The sequence below is a fragment of the Homo sapiens genome, chromosome 10 (assembly GCF_000001405.40).
Source record: "Homo sapiens chromosome 10, GRCh38.p14 Primary Assembly".
NCBI classification, from domain to species: Eukaryota; Metazoa; Chordata; class Mammalia; order Primates; family Hominidae; genus Homo; species Homo sapiens.
The window spans coordinates 26,482,585-26,499,990 of record NC_000010.11 but is presented as its reverse complement, the minus strand read 5'-3'; the positions used below and the strand labels follow the sequence as shown (position 1 = coordinate 26,499,990).

Here is a 17,406-nt window from a genome sequence, read left to right as displayed (position 1 = left end):
AATCTTCCCACCTCAGCCTCCCAAAGTGCTGGGATTAGAGGCATGAGCCACTGTGCCCAGCCAAGAGCCATTAATGATAAATAGCAGAAATTAAAACACCATAGGTGGCAAGGAGTTAAAAAATTATGGGATTAAATGGTAGAAACTTAATGAAGACAGTAAGCTGGGAGTTAACTTTTAAAAGAAAGGAAAGACATAAATTTTCAGAGTGAGAGGGAGGGAGGAGAGATCTCCTTAGGATTTCTTCCAGGTGTGAGATTACTATGGTAGAGCAGATGTGTGATCCTGAATGTTGATTAGATCATGTGGTGTAGTTGGGGTGGTGTTGGTGAGTAGTCTTGGTGGAGTACTTTGATGATCAGGCATACATTATATAGTGAATGTAATGAACAAAGGATGGACAGACAGGAAGGAAGTGATCCATGAGGAGAATTCTAGCTGCTATAGATATGATGAAACAGACTGAGGAAATGGGAGCAGCTGGAATAAAGCCTACTCAGTAACAAATAAGCTTTGTCAGACATCATCATCATAAATGTCACACAGCATATTCCAGTAATGCTAATAGTGCTAGTTTACAGTACTTGGACTAAAGTTTGGGTTTCCTAAACGTGTAAAAACAGTTTATTTTACTGTAAGCCTTTTTTATATATAATTTCTTTTCTTTTTTTTTTTGAGACAGAGTTTCGCTTTGTCACCTAGGCTGGAGTGCAGCAGCATGATCTCGGCTCATTGCAACCTCTGTTGCCCAGGCTGGAGTGCAGTGGTAGGATCATAGCTCACTGTAGCCTCGACCTCATGGGTTCAAGCAATCCTCCCACCTCAGCCTCCCGAGTAGCTGGGACTACAGGCACATACGAGCATGCCTGGCTAATTTTTTAATTTTTTTGTAGAGACAGTGGTCTCATTATGTTGCCCAGACTTGTCTCAAACTCCTGGGATTAAGTGATCCTCCTGCCTTGGCCTCCCAAAGTGGTGGAATTACAAGCATGATTACAGGCTCGCACCCAGCCTGGGCAAAATATTTTGAACTTGTTTTAGCAGTGTTTTAAAGGGAAGACAAAACAAATCTATTCTTAATCTAATTCCATACAAATTTAATTTTCCATACGTAGCAGTAGTTTTTAAATGTCTTGTCCTGTATCCAAATTAGGCCACATGTGTATATCTTGATTCCTTAATGAGAAGAGTGTCTTATTACTGTAGTGTAATATCACTATGTTTATATCTTGCTGGGTATCATTGCTCCTATCATTGTCAGTACTGTGATACCAGGCACTGAGTTAGTGCTTAGAAAGCGTTAGTTGAGATGACTACAATTAAGTTGAAATATTGATTAAATTTTAACTTTAATTGAACTGATTATAAAGCATGTGGCTGTTATGAATTGGTGAGGCTAAATTTGCTTTTTTCATATGTGCAAGTATATGTTATCTATTGCCATCATAATTTTACTAAAGTGTATAGCATTTATTTATTTATTTGACAGAGTCTTGCTCTGTCATCCAGGCTGAAGTGCAGTGGCATGATCTTGGCTCACTGCAACCTCCGCCTTCTGGTTTCCAGTGATTTTCGTCCCTCAGCCTCCCGAGTAGCTGAGATTACAGGTGCCCGCCACCTTGCCTGGATAAGTTTTGTATTTTTAGTAGAGATGGGGTTTCATCATGTTGGCCAGGCTGGTCTTGAAATTCTGACCTCAAGTGATCCACCAGCGTCGGCCTCCCAAAGTGCTGGGATTATAGGCAAGAGCCACCACGCCTGGCCTGCTTTTGTAAAAAAACTTCATGAATGTTACCATCTTAATGGAAATGACTGGCAGGAATAATAAATTTATGTGGCAAATAAAAAAAGTGTAGGAAAAAGAGAAAATCGCAAGATGTATATTATAATTTATCAAGAAAGAGTCACTGGCACTTAATGGTTTACTACAAAACTACTAGAAATGATAGAAACAAAGAAATCCTGGTCGGGTGCCATGGCTCACACCTGTAATTCCAGCACTTTGGGAGGCTGAAACAGTTGGATCACCTGAGGTCTGGAGTTCGAGACCAGCCTAGCCAACATGGCAAAACCCCGTCTCTACTAAAAATACAAAAATTAGCCAGTCATGATGGCGCATGCCTGTAGTCCCAGCTACTCGGGAGGCTGAGGCAGGAGAATCGCTTGAACCCAGGGGGCAGAGGTTGCAGTGAGCAGAGATCCCGCCACTGCACTCCAGCCTAGGTGACAGAGAGAGACTCTGCCTGAAAAAAAAAAAAAAAAAAAAAAATCCAGAGGACAGAAATAAAACTTGGAATTCTGGATTTCTGTAATTGAACTTTTCTCCTATTTTGCTTTTCACATTTTTGGTAGGCACAGCAAGTCTTTGGGAAATCTTTTTCCAGAGTTGCAGGGAGTTCTCACTAATTTGAAAGTGATTGTTTCAAGACTTTTTTTTTTTGAGGCAGAGTCTCGCTCTGCCGCCCAGGTTGGAGTGCAGTGGCGCGATCTCAGCTCACTGCAAGCTCCGCCTCCTGGGTTCACACCATTCTCCTGCCTCAGCCTCCCAGGTACCTGGGACTACAGGCACCTGCCACCACACCGGGCTAATTTTTTGTATTTTTAGTAGAGATGGGGTTTCACCGTGTTAGCCAGGATGGTCTCGATCTCCTGACCTTGTGATCTGCCCACCTCGGCCTCCCAAAGTGTTGGAATTTCAGGCGTGAGCCACTGCGCCTGGCCTCAAGACTTATTATAATATGAATAGCACGTGGCCTAAAGATGTCTCCATTTAAATAAACAGAGTTTTTGTTTTGTTTTGTTTTTTATTTTCTTGAGATAGAATCTCACTCTGTTGCCCAGGGTGGAGTGCAGTGGCAGAAACACAGCTCAGTGCAGCCTTGATCTTCCTGCCTCAGCCTCCCAAGTAGCTGAGACCACAGGCACATGCCACCACGCTTGGCTAATTTTTTTATTTTTTACTTTTTGTAGAGATGGGGTCTTGCCATGTTGTCCAGGCTGGTTTCAAACTCCTGAGCTCAAGCAATCCTCTTGCCTTGGCCTCCTAAAGTGCTGGGATCACAGGTGTGAGCCATCATGCATGGCTGAGAGATTTTTGGTAATAAAATAAAGTGACAAGTTCAGGAAAAATGAAAAAATGTCAAGTAGACTAAATTACATATAAGTATATATTATATATAAATTAAAAAATATTTTAAATAAAATATTATGAAGTATCTATTCATATTTATTAATCATTATGAAATAGTTGATTTCTATCACTGAAGGGACATTTCCTTACTAATATTTTTGTATACTACCCCTTGTTACTCTATGGGCTCAGTAATAAGAAGAAACTCCCCTTACTTTAAAACACGAGATCATTTCGAGACTTTTCACAAATGCAGAATGGTGTTCCCTTTCATTATTGGTGAAAATGTCTTCTTGACTCTCTCAATTCAATCTAGACACAGTAAAACCCAGTCTGAAATCCATGATTTTAACAATATTTATCATGATGTTTAGGTTCCTTTAATTTAGTTTTCAAATTATAGTTTCATACTGATTTGAATCATCATTATGATTTTGAATTACTTAAGAAAAGAAATTGTTATGCTTACCATTTAAATCTTTAAACCCCACACTGTAGTTAAATTCAGCTCTGGGTGGATTAGGGTCAGGAGGAGGGAGAGTGTCAACTCCTAAACTCTGTGAAAAAAGATCCCCCCATCAAAGTTATTCATGATACAAACATTTCTGTAGCACACTTTACTCAGCAAGTCAAAAACCATGTATCATTTACACATTTTCTCCCTTAGTGTGTTCTCTGAAAACCATATGGTAACTTGAAAATGTTTTATGTAATTTTTCCCCTATAGAAAATTACAGCTTAAAAATTATTCTAGAAGGAAGATCTTGAAACAGACCACGTCAATTGAGAGCAATGATAATGAGGTAGTTAATTTTTATAAAGAACACATAATTTCTTGTAATGGTGAACACACACACTATATATATATAATATATATATTATATTTATATATATTAAATATATATAAAATATATTTTATATATATTAAATATATATTATATAAAATATATATTTATATAAATATATATATATAAAATTCTGTAATGACTTAAGTCATTACATCAAATAAAGAAATCTCCAGTTACTTGGAGAAGAAAAGCTGTTTGAGGATGCAGTCTGTCGTAGTAAAATTTTTCCTTAGCCTACAATCTTGAGAACCTACCTGTTGGCAGGGCTGTTTAGCCAAGCAAACCTATGAGTACATCCACTTGGCCACAACAAAGAAATAGCAAAAACCAAAAGGGCTTTGTGTGAAGGCAGGTCCAAGAGACTAAAAGGGGCCTCTTTCCTATTCTTTTTTTTTTTTTTAACAAAAATGAGACGGGGGTCTTACTATGCTGCCCAGGCTGGTCTTGAACTCCTGGGCTCATGTGAGCCTCCTGTCTTGGCCTCCTAAAGTGCTGGGATTACAGGTGTGAGCCATCATGCCCAGCTTCTTTCCTGTTCTTGCCTTACAGTAACAATACTTAAATGTGGTCCTGCAAAAATCCCAGACTCTGACCCATCAGAACACTTCCCCCACTGGCTGCAGGAATGAGGTACAGAGAGACCACACACGTTCACTTAAACTCTCCTCCACCATAGGAGGAGAAAACACAGTCCTCATCTTAAGAAATGTGGTTGCCATTGGCTCACACCTGTAATCCCAGCACTTTGGGAGGCTGAGGCAGGCAGATCACAACATCAGGAGATAGAGACCATGTGGGCCAACATGGTGAAACCCCGTCTCTATTAAAAATACAAAAATTAGCTGGGTGTGGTGGTGCACACCTGTAATCCCAGCTACTCGGGAGGCTGAGGCAGGAGAATCGCTTGAACCTGGGAGGCGGAGCTTGCAGTGAGCCAAGATCTTGCCACTGCACTCCAGCCTGGTGACAGAGTGAGACTCTATCTCAAAAAAAAAAAAAGAAAAAGAAAGAAAGAAAGAAAGAAATATGGTTGCCATCCTAACACCTTTTAACCAGCACCCCTTCCTCTAAGCCAACTGTCTTGTATCTTATCCCTTCTTTCATAGAATCTAAACTTTTCTGACTCTTATTGGGAATATAAAGTAGATGCTAACTAGAATTGGTTTATTTTTTATTTTTGTTTTTATTGAGATGGAGTCTCACTCTGTTGCCCAGGCTGGAGTGCAATGGCACAATCTCAGCTCACCATAATCTCTGCCTCCTGGGTTCAAATGATTCTCCTGCCTCAGCATCCTGAGTAGCTGGGATTACAAGCACCCACCACCACGCTCGGCTAATTTTTGTATTTTTAGTAAAGATGGGGTTTCACCATATTGGCCAGCGTGGTCTCGAACTCCTGACCTGTGATCCACTCACCTCGGCCTCCCAAAGTGCTGGCATTACAGGTGTGAGCCACTGTGCCCGGTCTAGAATTGGTTTATTTTTTCCTAAAATAAATAAGTCTTTCAAAACACAGTCTATTCATTTATTTTTTTTAGAAAGCTTTTGAAGATCCTTATCTTATTTAGGAATATTGGCTTATTCTTCTTTTGATATTTTATGCAGAAAAGTGATGAGCTGATTAACTTATTAGTCAAAGGCTCATTTATGAGCACACTCTAAGACATTCTAAAGCCCACCTGACTGTAACCTGGCTTAGTGGCCCCTGCCACTTAGGGCCCCTGGCCCTACAGCTGCCAGGCTGTAGTGGCGCTGACAGTGGGGCTCAGTGACCTCTGAGTCAATCTGATCTTGATGCCAGGGGCTTTTTTCTCAGTCTATGGTTGAGTGGTTTTCACATTCCTTTGAGGGTACTGAGTTCTTACAGTTTAATCACAAGGTCACCATAACTCCCACTTAGTTCTTTAAAATGTAGCATTTCCTCAAGGGTTGGTAAAAAGTCTTTACTAAAGATGATATCCAGCCTGGGCAACATAGTGAGATCTCGTCTCTATAAAAGAAAAAAAAAATTAGCTGGGTGTGGTGGCGTGCACCTGTAGTCCCTGCTACTTGGGAGGCTGAGGCCAGAGGATCACTTGAGCCCAAGAGGTTGAGGCTGCAGTGAACCGTGATTGTGCCACTGCACTCCAGCCTAAGCAACACAGTGAGACTCTGTCTCTCAAGAAAACCCCAAAATCAAACAAAGATAATACTTTATTAGTGAGTCTTTATAGAAGTAACCACAGGGAAATGGCTCAGCGCTGGTGGTTGTAGGATAGTAAACTTGGGGGTAAATTTCTCTATTGGTAAATATTTGGATACTATGAGCTTGATGTATGTCTAATCAATGTATTAAATTAACTGAACTCAAAAGAATATAGTCAGGAACAAGCTTTTTCTTTAACCCATCATTGTCACAATTATATCAGAACTATATAATGTTGCCAATCTTCAGGGTGTTGCGGGAAGTCAGGGACCCCGAATGGAGGGACCGGCTGAAGCCATGGCAGAAGAACTTAAATTGCGAAGATTTCATGGACGTTTATTAGTTCCCCAAATTAATACTTTTATAATTTCTTACGCCTGTCTTTACTGCAATCTCTGAACATAAATTGTGAAGATTTCATGGACATTTATCATTTCCCCAATCAATACTCTTGTGATTTCCCTGCCTGTCTTTAATCTTTTAATCCTGTCATCTTCATAAGCTAAAGATGTATGTCGCCTTAGGACCCTGTGATGATTGCGTTAACTGCACAAATTGTTCGTAAATCATGTGTGTTTAAACAATATGAAATCTGGGCACCTTGAAAAAAGAACAGGATTACAGTGATGTTCAGGGAACAAGGGAGATAACCATTAGGTCTGACTGCCTGGGAGCCGGGCAGGACAGAGCCATATTTCTCTTATTACCGAAAACGGGTAAGAGAAATATCACTGAATTCTTTCCCCAGTAAGGAATATTAATAATTAATAGCCCTGGGAAAAGAATGCATTCCCGGGGGGGCCTCTAAAATGGCCGCTCTGGGGGTGTCTGCCTTATGCAGTTGAAGATAACGGATGAAACATGCCCTGGCCTCCTGCAGCGCCCCCAGGGTTGCTAGGATTAGGAAATTCCAGCCTGGCGAATTCTAGTCAGACTGGTTCTCTGCTCTTGAACCCTGTTAAGATGTTTACCAATGACAATGCGTGCACAGCGGGGCATGGAACTTCATTAATAATTCTAGTTTCTCCCTGACCTTGTGACCTTGCCCTGCCCATTTGCCTTGTGATATTTTGTTGCCCTTGAAGCATGTGATCTCTGTGACCCACACCCTATTCATACACTCCCTCATCTTTGAAAATTGCTAATAAAAACTTGCTGGTTTTATGGCTTGGGGGTATCATGGAACCTGCCGACATGTGATGCCTCCCCTGGACACCCAGCTTTAAAATTTCTCTCTTTTGTACTCTTCCCTTTATTTCTCAGACCCGCCGTCACTTAGGGAAAATAGAAAAGAACCTACATTGAAATATCGGGGGCTGGTTCCCCCGATATCAGGGTTTTAAAAAAGACAGCTCCCTTGTCATATTACAATGAAATTCTGCAACTCTATTTTTGTTTTCCAATTTGCCAGTTAAAAAGGGAAGTTTACCTGAGTCAGAAGATCCATCTCTCCCAGCAAAGTGCTGAACATTTGGTCTATGTCTTCACTTGACTCACCCATCTGAAAAAGGAAGAAACTGAGATATTAGCAGTCTCATAAAAGCCTGATCCTAGGATACTCTTTGCATCCCTCTCTTTCCCCCAAGAGCCCCATCCATGGGCAGCTAAGTTGGGAGAGGACTATATTGAGAGGAAGGCTTATGTTAGCCTGAAATTTCATGCCTGGCTTCTATCCAATCTGCTTGATCCAAGATTGTGCCAAACGTTGGGAAATGCCTCAGAGCCACAGTTGAATTTTTCCAGGCTAAACTAGTCTTCTTGGCACCAAAGAAACAGGCTGGATCACGCCTGTAATCCCAGCACTAGGGGAAGCCGAGACAGGCAGATCACCTGAGGTCAGGAGTTTGAGACCAGCTTGAACAATATGGTGAAACCCCATCTCTACTAAAAATACAAAAATTACCTGGGTGTGGTGGCACGTGCCTGTAGTCCCAGCTACTCGGGAGGCTGAGGCAGGAAAATCGCTTGAACCCAGGAGGTGAAGGTTGCAGTGAGCCGAGATTGCGCCACTGCACTCCAGCCTGGGTGACAGAGTGAGACTCCGTCTCCAAAAAAAAAAAAAAAAAAACCTTACACAAAAATGATGTGAGGAGTGATTAAGCATATTTACCCAATAATTCCCTGCTTTCAAAAGATATTTCTGAAATAATAGTTTTTAGTACATTTATTTAGAAGTACTGGTGGACAAACCCTTAGAACTTAAATGGCAGCCCTGCCAAGTGAAAAGAGATAGAAAGAAAACTTTTTTTACATTTTAACCTTTCTTTGCCTAAACCAAATGAAGCAATTGCCCAAGAAGAGGAAAAGTTTGCGACAAAATAGGGTGGGACGCACTGTGAGTTGCAACTGGCTGCTCTGTTTCCTGACATTTTTGGCAAGGCTAAGTTGGGAAGTTAGGAGACATTACTAGTCCTTTGGCCACTTAACTAGCATTATGTAGTTTGGCAAAGGTAATCAATTGTTTCATCTGTAACATGAGGAATTTGCTGCAGACCATTTCTAACGGCATTTCTCTCTTTCTTTTCTTTTCTTTCTTTTTTTTTCTTTTTTTAGATGGAGTCTTGCTCTGTCCCCCAGGCTGGAGTGAGTGGTGCAATCTCAGCTCACTGCAGCCTCCGTCTCTCAGGTTAAAGCAATTCTCCTTCCTCAGCCTCCAGAGTAGCTGGGATGACAGGCACCCGCCACCATGCCCGGCTAATTTTTGTATTTTTAGTAGAGACGAGGTTTCATCATGTTGGCCAGGCTGGTCTCAAACTCCTGACCTCAGGTGATCCACTCGCCTCGACTTCCCAAAGTGCTGGGATTACAAGATTGAGCCATCTTGCTCAGCCTCTAAGGACATTTCAAAATGCTCTAAAACACTGTAATATTAATGCCAATTATAGCTCATACTGAGAAGTCTGGTGGGTGTAGGGAATCAGTATGTATTATTTAAGCCAAATCACAATATTTACTTGAATTTGTACATGCATGCATTTGTATCTCATTCTTTTTATATGGAAATTAAAAATATATAAAAAAGCAGAGAGAATAATGATTTTCATGTACACATTGTCCAGCTTTAATAATTTTCAACTGGACTGATCTTTTTCCATTTATATCTTCCTACAATAGATATTTTAAAGCAAATATTATTTTTCCATAAATATTTCAGAATGCAGTGCTAAAAGATAAAGATACTCCATTTCTTTTTTTCTTTTTTGAGATGGAGTTTTGCTCTTGTCGCCCAGGCTGGGGTGCAGTGGTGCAATCTCACATCACTGCAACTTCCGCCTCCTGGGCTAAAGCAACTCTCGTGCCTCAGCCTCCTGAGTAGCTGGAATTACAGGCATGCCCCACCACACCTGGTTAATTTTTGTATTTTTAGTAGAGACGGGGTTTCGCCATGTTGGCCAGGGTGGTCTGAAACTCCTGACCTCAGGTGATCCGCCCGCCTCTGCTTCCCAAAATGCTGGGATTACAGGTGTGAGCCACCACGCCTGGCCCATAAAGATACTTTCTAAATCATAAACATAATACTATTATCTCTTCATGTGTGTATTTAAAATAAATTACTGGGCTGAAATAGGCCAAGTGGAGGCAAATCTATCTTTCCTTGAATAAATTACCTTGAAAACTTATAGTTCACCCTTTAAGTGACTTTAATATTTTAGCAGTCACATATTTTTATTTTTAATAGCTATAGCTAATCAGGGTATCTTAGTCTCTTTATTAAATATGTCTATGAAATAAGCTTTGTCACACTAACTTTGCTTTCTTAAAAATGATTCCATTGATCTTCTTCTTCCTCTTCTTCTTCTTTTGAGATGGAGTCTCACTCTGTCTCCCAGGCTGGAGTGCAATGGCCTGATCTCAGCTCACTGCAAACTCTGCCTCCTGGGTTCAAGCAATTCTCCTGCCTCAGCTTCCTGAGTAGCTGGTATTATGGGCACCCACCACTATGCCTGGCTAATTTTCGTATTTTTAGTAGAGATGGGGTTTCATGATGTTGGCCAGGCTGTTCTTGAACTCCTGACCTCAAGTGATCCACCCACCTGGGCCTCCCAAAGTGTTGGGATTACAGGCGTGAGCCATCACACCCAGCCAAATGATTTTAAAAATATCACAATTCTTAAAAGTGAAGTGATGTAAATGATGATGATGGTGATAACAATAATACTTATCTGGCACTAACTCTTTTGCAAGAGCTGTTCTATAAGCCAGAGTTGATATTAGCAACATTTAGCACCCAGGGTAGCATTGACGCTGAGCAATCAGAACAGATGAGGCTGTAAAATCATTTTGCGTGAATCAGTGCATATCCTCCAAATATCCACCCTGCAAAGCTAGCACTTAATCTTCCCAAATTATCTTCAACAATTATCTTGCGTTTATCATTTAGGAAATCTGACATAATGAAATCTTCTTGCTTAATTTTTCCATCGTATATTTCCCCTTCTCCCTATTTTAAGAAGAAAAAAATTATTTTCTTCTCCTACATAACCTTATCACCCTCGCCAAACAGGACTGAGAACATTTTCCATCTGAATGTTCTGCTCCCTGCAGTGACTTTTCTTTTGCCGTCCTTCTAGTCACTCCCTCTTGAGAAACACAAAAACTACCCTGAGCTAGAGGTCACTGAGCATATTCCACCATCATTTCAAGGTTTAAGTTTTGCATGTTTTATTTTGGAGGACAGATGCTTGAATTGCTATGTGATGTATTAATTTTCTCTACTGCCCTATCTGGCGTCCAGTGTAGGAGGTGTCTTGCAGGAGCATGGGAAGTTGTAAAACTGTGTTGGCCAGGAGGCATTGAGAGGGTACAAGAAGGGGTCTTTAGTTAAGAGAGGTCTAGATTCCATTGAACTAGCACATTTCTTAGTGGCAGACGCATCCCAAAGAATCAGGTGTACATACACATGGGACAAGGAGGTGTGTGTTTGAATCCAAGGAAGCCACTCAGTGAATGCTAAGGGTCAGACCACACAAAGCAGGCAGGTGAGCACCCAGGTATAGAAGCAACAGGTGAGAAAAACACCGAAGGTCTAGGTCTATGTGTGCAGGGAAAGTCAGAGAGGAATCAAACACAGCATCAGTGACGGATGATGGAAGATCCTTGTCCTATTTTGTGTGTATTGTTGGGATTAAAAAAGTGTTTATGGCACCTAGAAGAGAGGAAGATGGCTGCAGGTGGGCCCTGCCCCTGGTTCATGAGGGAAGTCAGCATGAGGAGTCATTTCCATGGGGTTTTATCCCCACACAGTTGCTTACAAAGTATCTGAATCATATCCTCCTTTCTTTAAATTTCCTACAAGGCTGGGCATGGTGACTCACGCCTGTTATCCCAGCACTTTGGGAGGCCGAGGGGAGAGGATTGCTTGAGGCCAGGAGTTTGAAACCAGCCTGGGCAACATAGAGAAACTTCTGTACAAAAAATTAAAAAATTAGCCAGGTGTGGGGGCACGTGCATGTAGTCCCACATACTTGGGAGGCTGAGACGGGATGATGGCTTGAGCCCAGGAGGTCGAGGCTGCAGTGAACTATGATGGTGCCACCAAAGTCCAGCCTGGGTGACACAGCGAGACTCTCTCAAAAAAAAAAAAAATTCCTACAAAATGGCAGAAAGTATTTAAGTAGATATTATCTCCATGGTTTCACAAATTGTCTCCCAAAACAACTAATATGGTATTAAAAATCTTGTCATGGGTTTTTAAGTTATTATTTTAATAAGGGGAAATTAATGGAAAAAACAATAAAATTCCAGAACTGCTCATGTGAATTGCTTTCTATCTGAGTACAATAGTGTGAGAAAATAAAGGAATCCTTCAGATGAATTATTATTAAGAGTAATTATTGGTGTTAACACATTTCAGATTTTTTTATGAGAGTAATCCATTTTATAAGAATAAATATAGATTTGTTTGCTGACCTCAAAACTGCCAACTAGCATTACAATAAGCTTATAGGAATCAAATATAATTTGAGTAACAAGAATCTTGCCATTGATTCATTCTCCTGAACCCTTAAATTTGGAAAAGCACTAAAATAAAGTCTGGAAATGTGACATCGATGAGTCAGAAAAACCCACTGAACCCAAAGGCCTTCGTTTCTCAGGCTGTGCACACCACTGCTATATAACAGGTTAATGACGTGCCACAGTGAATCATCCACCTAAGATGGAAATAACTCAAAACAACAGCGCGTTCTCGTGACCTCTCCCTGCATTCATCTGGTGAAAATCTTTCCCCCTGCCCTTTCCCCTGCCCTTTCATTCCTTTCCCCCAGAGTCTGTTACTGAGTTATTAAGTGGAGCCAACATCAAAATTGTGCTGAAACGTACAGTCATAAGTAAACTTGCTTGTGAATGGATCACAGTTGCACCCACGGTGAAGATAAAAAGACATTTGACTTCAGGGCAGTTTGTTAACAAAAATTATTAATCTGTAAATTCAGTCATATTACATAATTGACCTCCCTGCAAGAAAACCTTATTATTGAAATGGACAGACAAGAGTTATACACATGTATACAGTGTACACACACACAAGCGTAAGAAAATAGGGCTGTGCCTATATGTACGTGTGGTATTTTCCAAAGGTCAAAATAAAGATTAAAAGAGAGAGAGAGAGAGAGAGGAAAAAAAAAAAAACACCCAGCCCTGACAGCTAAAAGTCTTATTTGGGTTAGCAGCCAGAAAGAGCTGGGGTGGAGTTATCACAGTGAAGCAATGCATTGCAAACAAGCCATGCTCACATCGTGACTGGGTGGAGTTAGAATCTTTTTGTGAGTATGTCACTTCTGAGTTCATTTTATGTCTTGGGAAGAACCACAAGTTGTTGATGAAAAAGAAATGGAAATACTACAAAATCAGCTAGATTTTGTGATTATTATTGTTATTATTGGATAGATGAGGGGTGAGGTGGTTGAAGCCGCTTGTCCAGGCTAAAACTTTCCCTTAGATTCCTTGAACGACAAGGAAATTTTCCCTAATGCTTAATATTTCTAGGCTTCAGTTTTTCAATCCTTAAATCGTTTCTCTTTTCCACCTGGATACATTTCAAAACTATGTCTTTTAAACATTTATCCTAAGTACTGTGATGCATATGGTTTACAGGACATATGTTTATATCGACGGCAGAGTTAATCTCACACATTTAACTCAGTTTGCATGCAGTTTGGGATGCCGTGAAGATCAGCAATTCCAGCCATGGAATCTGGAATTTTGGACCTGGATGAGGGCGGCCTTTATTGCATCGGTCAGAGTAGCTTGCCTAAACACAGCCAGCTCAACATCCCCCAGGCATTTCCCTCTAAGTAGCTCCGACTCACTACTCCCCTTCATGCATTCTCTTCCCATGCGCCTTAACTTGGTAAAAGGCCATTAGTCACATATCAGTCTGACTTAGAACCCTTGGCATAGTCCCTTACTCCTCCCATTTTTCCATCTAGTCGGTCGAGGAATCTGTTGGCTTTTCCTGTAGAAGGCTTCTCCTTGCCTTCATTCTCTCTATCAAGCCACAGTTGACACCTCACCAGCTCACCCAGCCTCCAGCCTTCCAGACTCCCCATCAATATTCACCACCACCGTTGCTGCAAATTGCAAATACAAATGTGAATGTGTCACTCTCCTGTTTAAAAATCTTCCCTGGCTGCTTATGATGAAGTGGAGAGCGTTCAGGCACTCAGCGTGTCTTTCAAAGTCCTTCCTAATTTGTCCCATTCGGGGCCTTTTATTTTTTAATTTATTTATATTTTTTTACATTATTTTATTTTATTTTTAGCAGAGACAGGGTCTTGCTATGTTGCCCAGGCAGGTCTCAAACTCCTGGGCTCAAGTGATCCTCGCACCTCCACCTCCCAAAATGCTGGGATTACAGGCTTGAGCCACCAGGCCTGGCCTCAGGACCCTTGATGTTTTCTGAACAGGCTTTTTAGAACTCTTTTTGTCTTTGTATATGCTATTCCCTTTAAATAATATCCTCCTCTGTGCATATCTCCTTCATAAAATCCTACTGATCATTCAAAATCCAGCTGTCATGCTAACACTTTAATGGTATCTTCATTCCCAGCAGAGATTTGCTATCTACTGCACTTGGTAAACATGTCAGTAAATCCTGGCCTTAACAACCAACTTGACATGGTATTTAATCTCCTTGGACTTCAGTTTCCTTGTCTATAAAATAAGGAAAACAATAATGCCTAATTCTTAGGCTTGTTGTGACATCTAAACAAAATAGCCAAAAATACTTAGCATGAATTTGCAATCAGCATTTGCCACACTGAATCACACTCTTTTTGTTATCGTTATAGAATCTCTTAGAAAACTGGGAGTTGTTATTAAGTAAGAATCAGATCTTGTTGATGTTTGTGTTCAGAAATGCGTCGTTGGAAACCCAGAGAGATTAAGTAGCTTCCCAGACTAATGAGAAGAACTGGGCTAGAGTCCAGATCTCAAGCCTCATAGAAAGTTCTCTCTCACTTGACTGGCTACATGTTCTACATGGCTCCTGGTGTGACACACTCAGAAATGTCACATTCCAGGGCCAGGCAGTCCTTAGAGACTGCCAAATAACATGGTTCCGAGAACTATCAGAGCCGTTAAACAGTCTGTTTCTAAGCTGCTGCTATAGGTACAGGTTTGTGGAACCTCATTCACTATAACACTGTTTATTTTTCCAATGCTATTTCCAGGTGAGTAAATACTGATACTCACACAGATGTGTTTTGTTGGTAAACAAAACTTTCACTGGGGCTCACATCTATTTAGGCCTGAATCAGTTTTCAAACCAAAAATTTTAGTTGCCTTGAGAAAAATTCTGATAACTACCATGCAACTTGAGGCAACTTGAGTGACAGTATCAATGACTTTTCTTCTTTTCTAATTCAATCTAAAGTCAGTTAACATTTCAAGTAATAGGTTAATCATCATTTAGTAAATAAAAACACTTTATGTTTTCTATCTTAATTATTTCTTAATTCACATCATATAACTAATTTCATGTGTACCCCTTTGTTATAACAATAATGTGTTACAATTTCATGCTAGAAACTGAATTTTGAGCAGAATGGTATTAAATTAAGGGATTATTTGATGCACTTAAAACTAAAAGATTTAGTCATAAAAGTGTACTATTTTATATATTAAGTGAAATATGTAATAATACAATTGTTTATATAGGAATTTTTTAATAAAACAGAAAACAAATAAAAGGATACACTATTTTTCATGTAAGTTCAAAAAAGGCCTGGTGCAGTGGCTCACACCTGTAATACCAGCACTTTGTGAGGCCGAGGCAGGTGGATCACCTGAGGTCAGGAGTTTGAGACCAGCCTGGCCAGCATGGTGAAACCCTGTCTCTACTAAAAATACCAAAAAAGTAGCTGGGCGTGGTGGTGCGCACCTATAATCCCAGCTACTTGGGAGTCTGAGGCACAAGAATCGCTTGAACCCGGGAGGCGGAGCTTGCAGTGAGCTGAGGTCGTGCTGCACTCCAGCCTGGGCGACAGAGCAAGACTCCATCTCAAAACAAAACAAAACAAAACAAAACAAACAAGTGGTCCTAACAACTTCTGCATGAAATAAAAAACTTGTTAAGATTTTTCTCTTCTTGTGATTATCAAGTTTTGGGTTTACAGAGTTGATGTTTTCGGTGGCAGCAAGTGTCAATACAATGAAGAAACTCATATTATTTACATTTTTATAAGGAGCTTATCTGTCAAAACCCTGCTTTCTTATATTTCTTATAGCACCGTATTAAGATATTACAAACTCACGGGTTGTCTAAGCTAATTTGAATGGTTGCAAATTTCACCGTTTCAGCTGTACTTTTAGTTATGCTTAGTCTTTACTTGGACTAAGATACTAATACCAATAACAGAATGAAAATTTCAGAGCACTGAGAATGAAAAGAAAAGACAAAACAGAATATTTGTGAGCAAGACCCTGTCTCTACAAAAAATAAAAAAATTAGCCAGTCATATTGGCATGCGCCTGTAGTCCCTGCTATTCAGGAGGCCGAGGCAGGAAGATTCTTTGAGCCCAGGAGTTCAAGGCTGAAGTGACTCATGATTGCACTATTGCACTCCAGCCTGAGCAAAAGAGCAAGACCCTGACTCAAAATAAATAATGATAAAAAAATGAAACAACAGAGGAGGTATAAAAATGACTTTGCAATTATTAAAATGAGACACAGTCAATGAAGTTCAGGAAGGTTAGAATTAGCCTTCAGTATTAACCAGAGAAGTTGCTACCTGTCTGTCTACCAAGAAGAAAACTCCTCACTCAATTGCTTCTGTGCATGGCTGGGGTTGAGAGAGAGAGAAATCTCCCCTTGCTCTCTACCTGCCTGATAATAATAAAAATAACAGCGAATAACTATTAGGTGTTCTCATTCCATGCCAGGGATTGTCCTGGTGCGTTACGTGCATTGACTGATTAAATCCATCCTCACACCCTAGGTGAAATGAAAACACTTTTATATTCATCTTAGATGAGAAAACTGAGGCATCCAGAGATAAGTAAATCGATCGAGTTTACACAAAGTAAGTCAGTCATCAAATATTTATTGATCCCAGACATGATTGGAGGCTTAAACAAATTTCTGGAAGATTTTTCTGTGTGGGTTTTCCTCAGCTGTATTTCTTCTCTTCAATGAATTTATCTGCATACTGTACATCTTTCTATGTTAAAGACAGTTAAAGAAAAATGTTTGTATCCTAGTATTGACTGCTTTTTTTTTTTTTTTTTTTTTTTTATCAGATGGAGTTTTGCTCTTGTTGCCCAGGCTGGAGTGCAATGGTGTGATCTCGGCTCACTGCAACCTCCACCTCCCAGTTCAAGAGTTTCTCCTGCCTCAGCCTCCCAAGTAGCTGGGATTACAGGCACCGGCCACCATGACCAGCTAATTTTTTTTTTTTTTTTTCACTTGAGAAAGAGTTTCACCATGTTGGCCAGGCTGGTCTCAAACACCTGACCTCAGGTGATCAGCCCGCCTCAGCCTCCCAAAGTGCTGGAGTTACAGGGACTGTTGTTTTTTTACCCTACAGTGTTTTGAGTTTATTACTAGATTGCCAAAACTAAAATAGAACTGGAATTGATGAGAAATAAGTTTCAAAAATCTGAGGCTCTCCAAGTATCAATTTGCTTTGATATTTTTATTATTTTTTAATTAGAAACCATCTGGCAACATTTTTTTCTAGGAAATAAATCAGTAGACATATTACAACTACAGATACAAAAGAGGAGAAAAAAATTTTAAAAAG

General features: G+C 40.3%; 1 protein-coding gene across 2 annotated transcripts in view, besides 2 other annotated features; it reads right to left on the bottom strand.

Moving 5' to 3' along the window:
* Positions 1 to 17,406, bottom strand: part of APBB1IP (amyloid beta precursor protein binding family B member 1 interacting protein) — a 129,463-nt gene that overhangs the window by 67,813 nt on the left and 44,244 nt on the right. For both annotated transcript variants that reach the window (NM_019043.4, XM_011519514.3), the window contains exons 3-4: positions 7,593 to 7,664; positions 3,600 to 3,687 (exon numbers count right to left, since the gene is read on the bottom strand). In NM_019043.4, coding sequence (NP_061916.3) covers positions 3,600 to 3,687; positions 7,593 to 7,664 — 160 coding nt within the window. The remainder of the gene's footprint in view (positions 1 to 3,599; positions 3,688 to 7,592; positions 7,665 to 17,406) is intronic.
* Positions 9,857 to 10,005: a silencer, noted in NCBI's record as "fragment chr10:26778915-26779063 (GRCh37/hg19 assembly coordinates)". NCBI's record gives its function as "represses an EF-1alpha promoter that drives an FKBP-Casp9 reporter gene in an ReSE screen in K562 erythroleukemia cells {active_cell/tissue: K562}" and the evidence as "EXISTENCE:reporter gene assay evidence [ECO:0000049][PMID:32094911]".
* Positions 12,719 to 12,768: an enhancer, noted in NCBI's record as "active region_3168". NCBI's record gives its function as "activates an Ori minimal core promoter by ATAC-STARR-seq in GM12878 lymphoblastoid cells {active_cell/tissue: GM12878}" and the evidence as "EXISTENCE:reporter gene assay evidence [ECO:0000049][PMID:35858748]".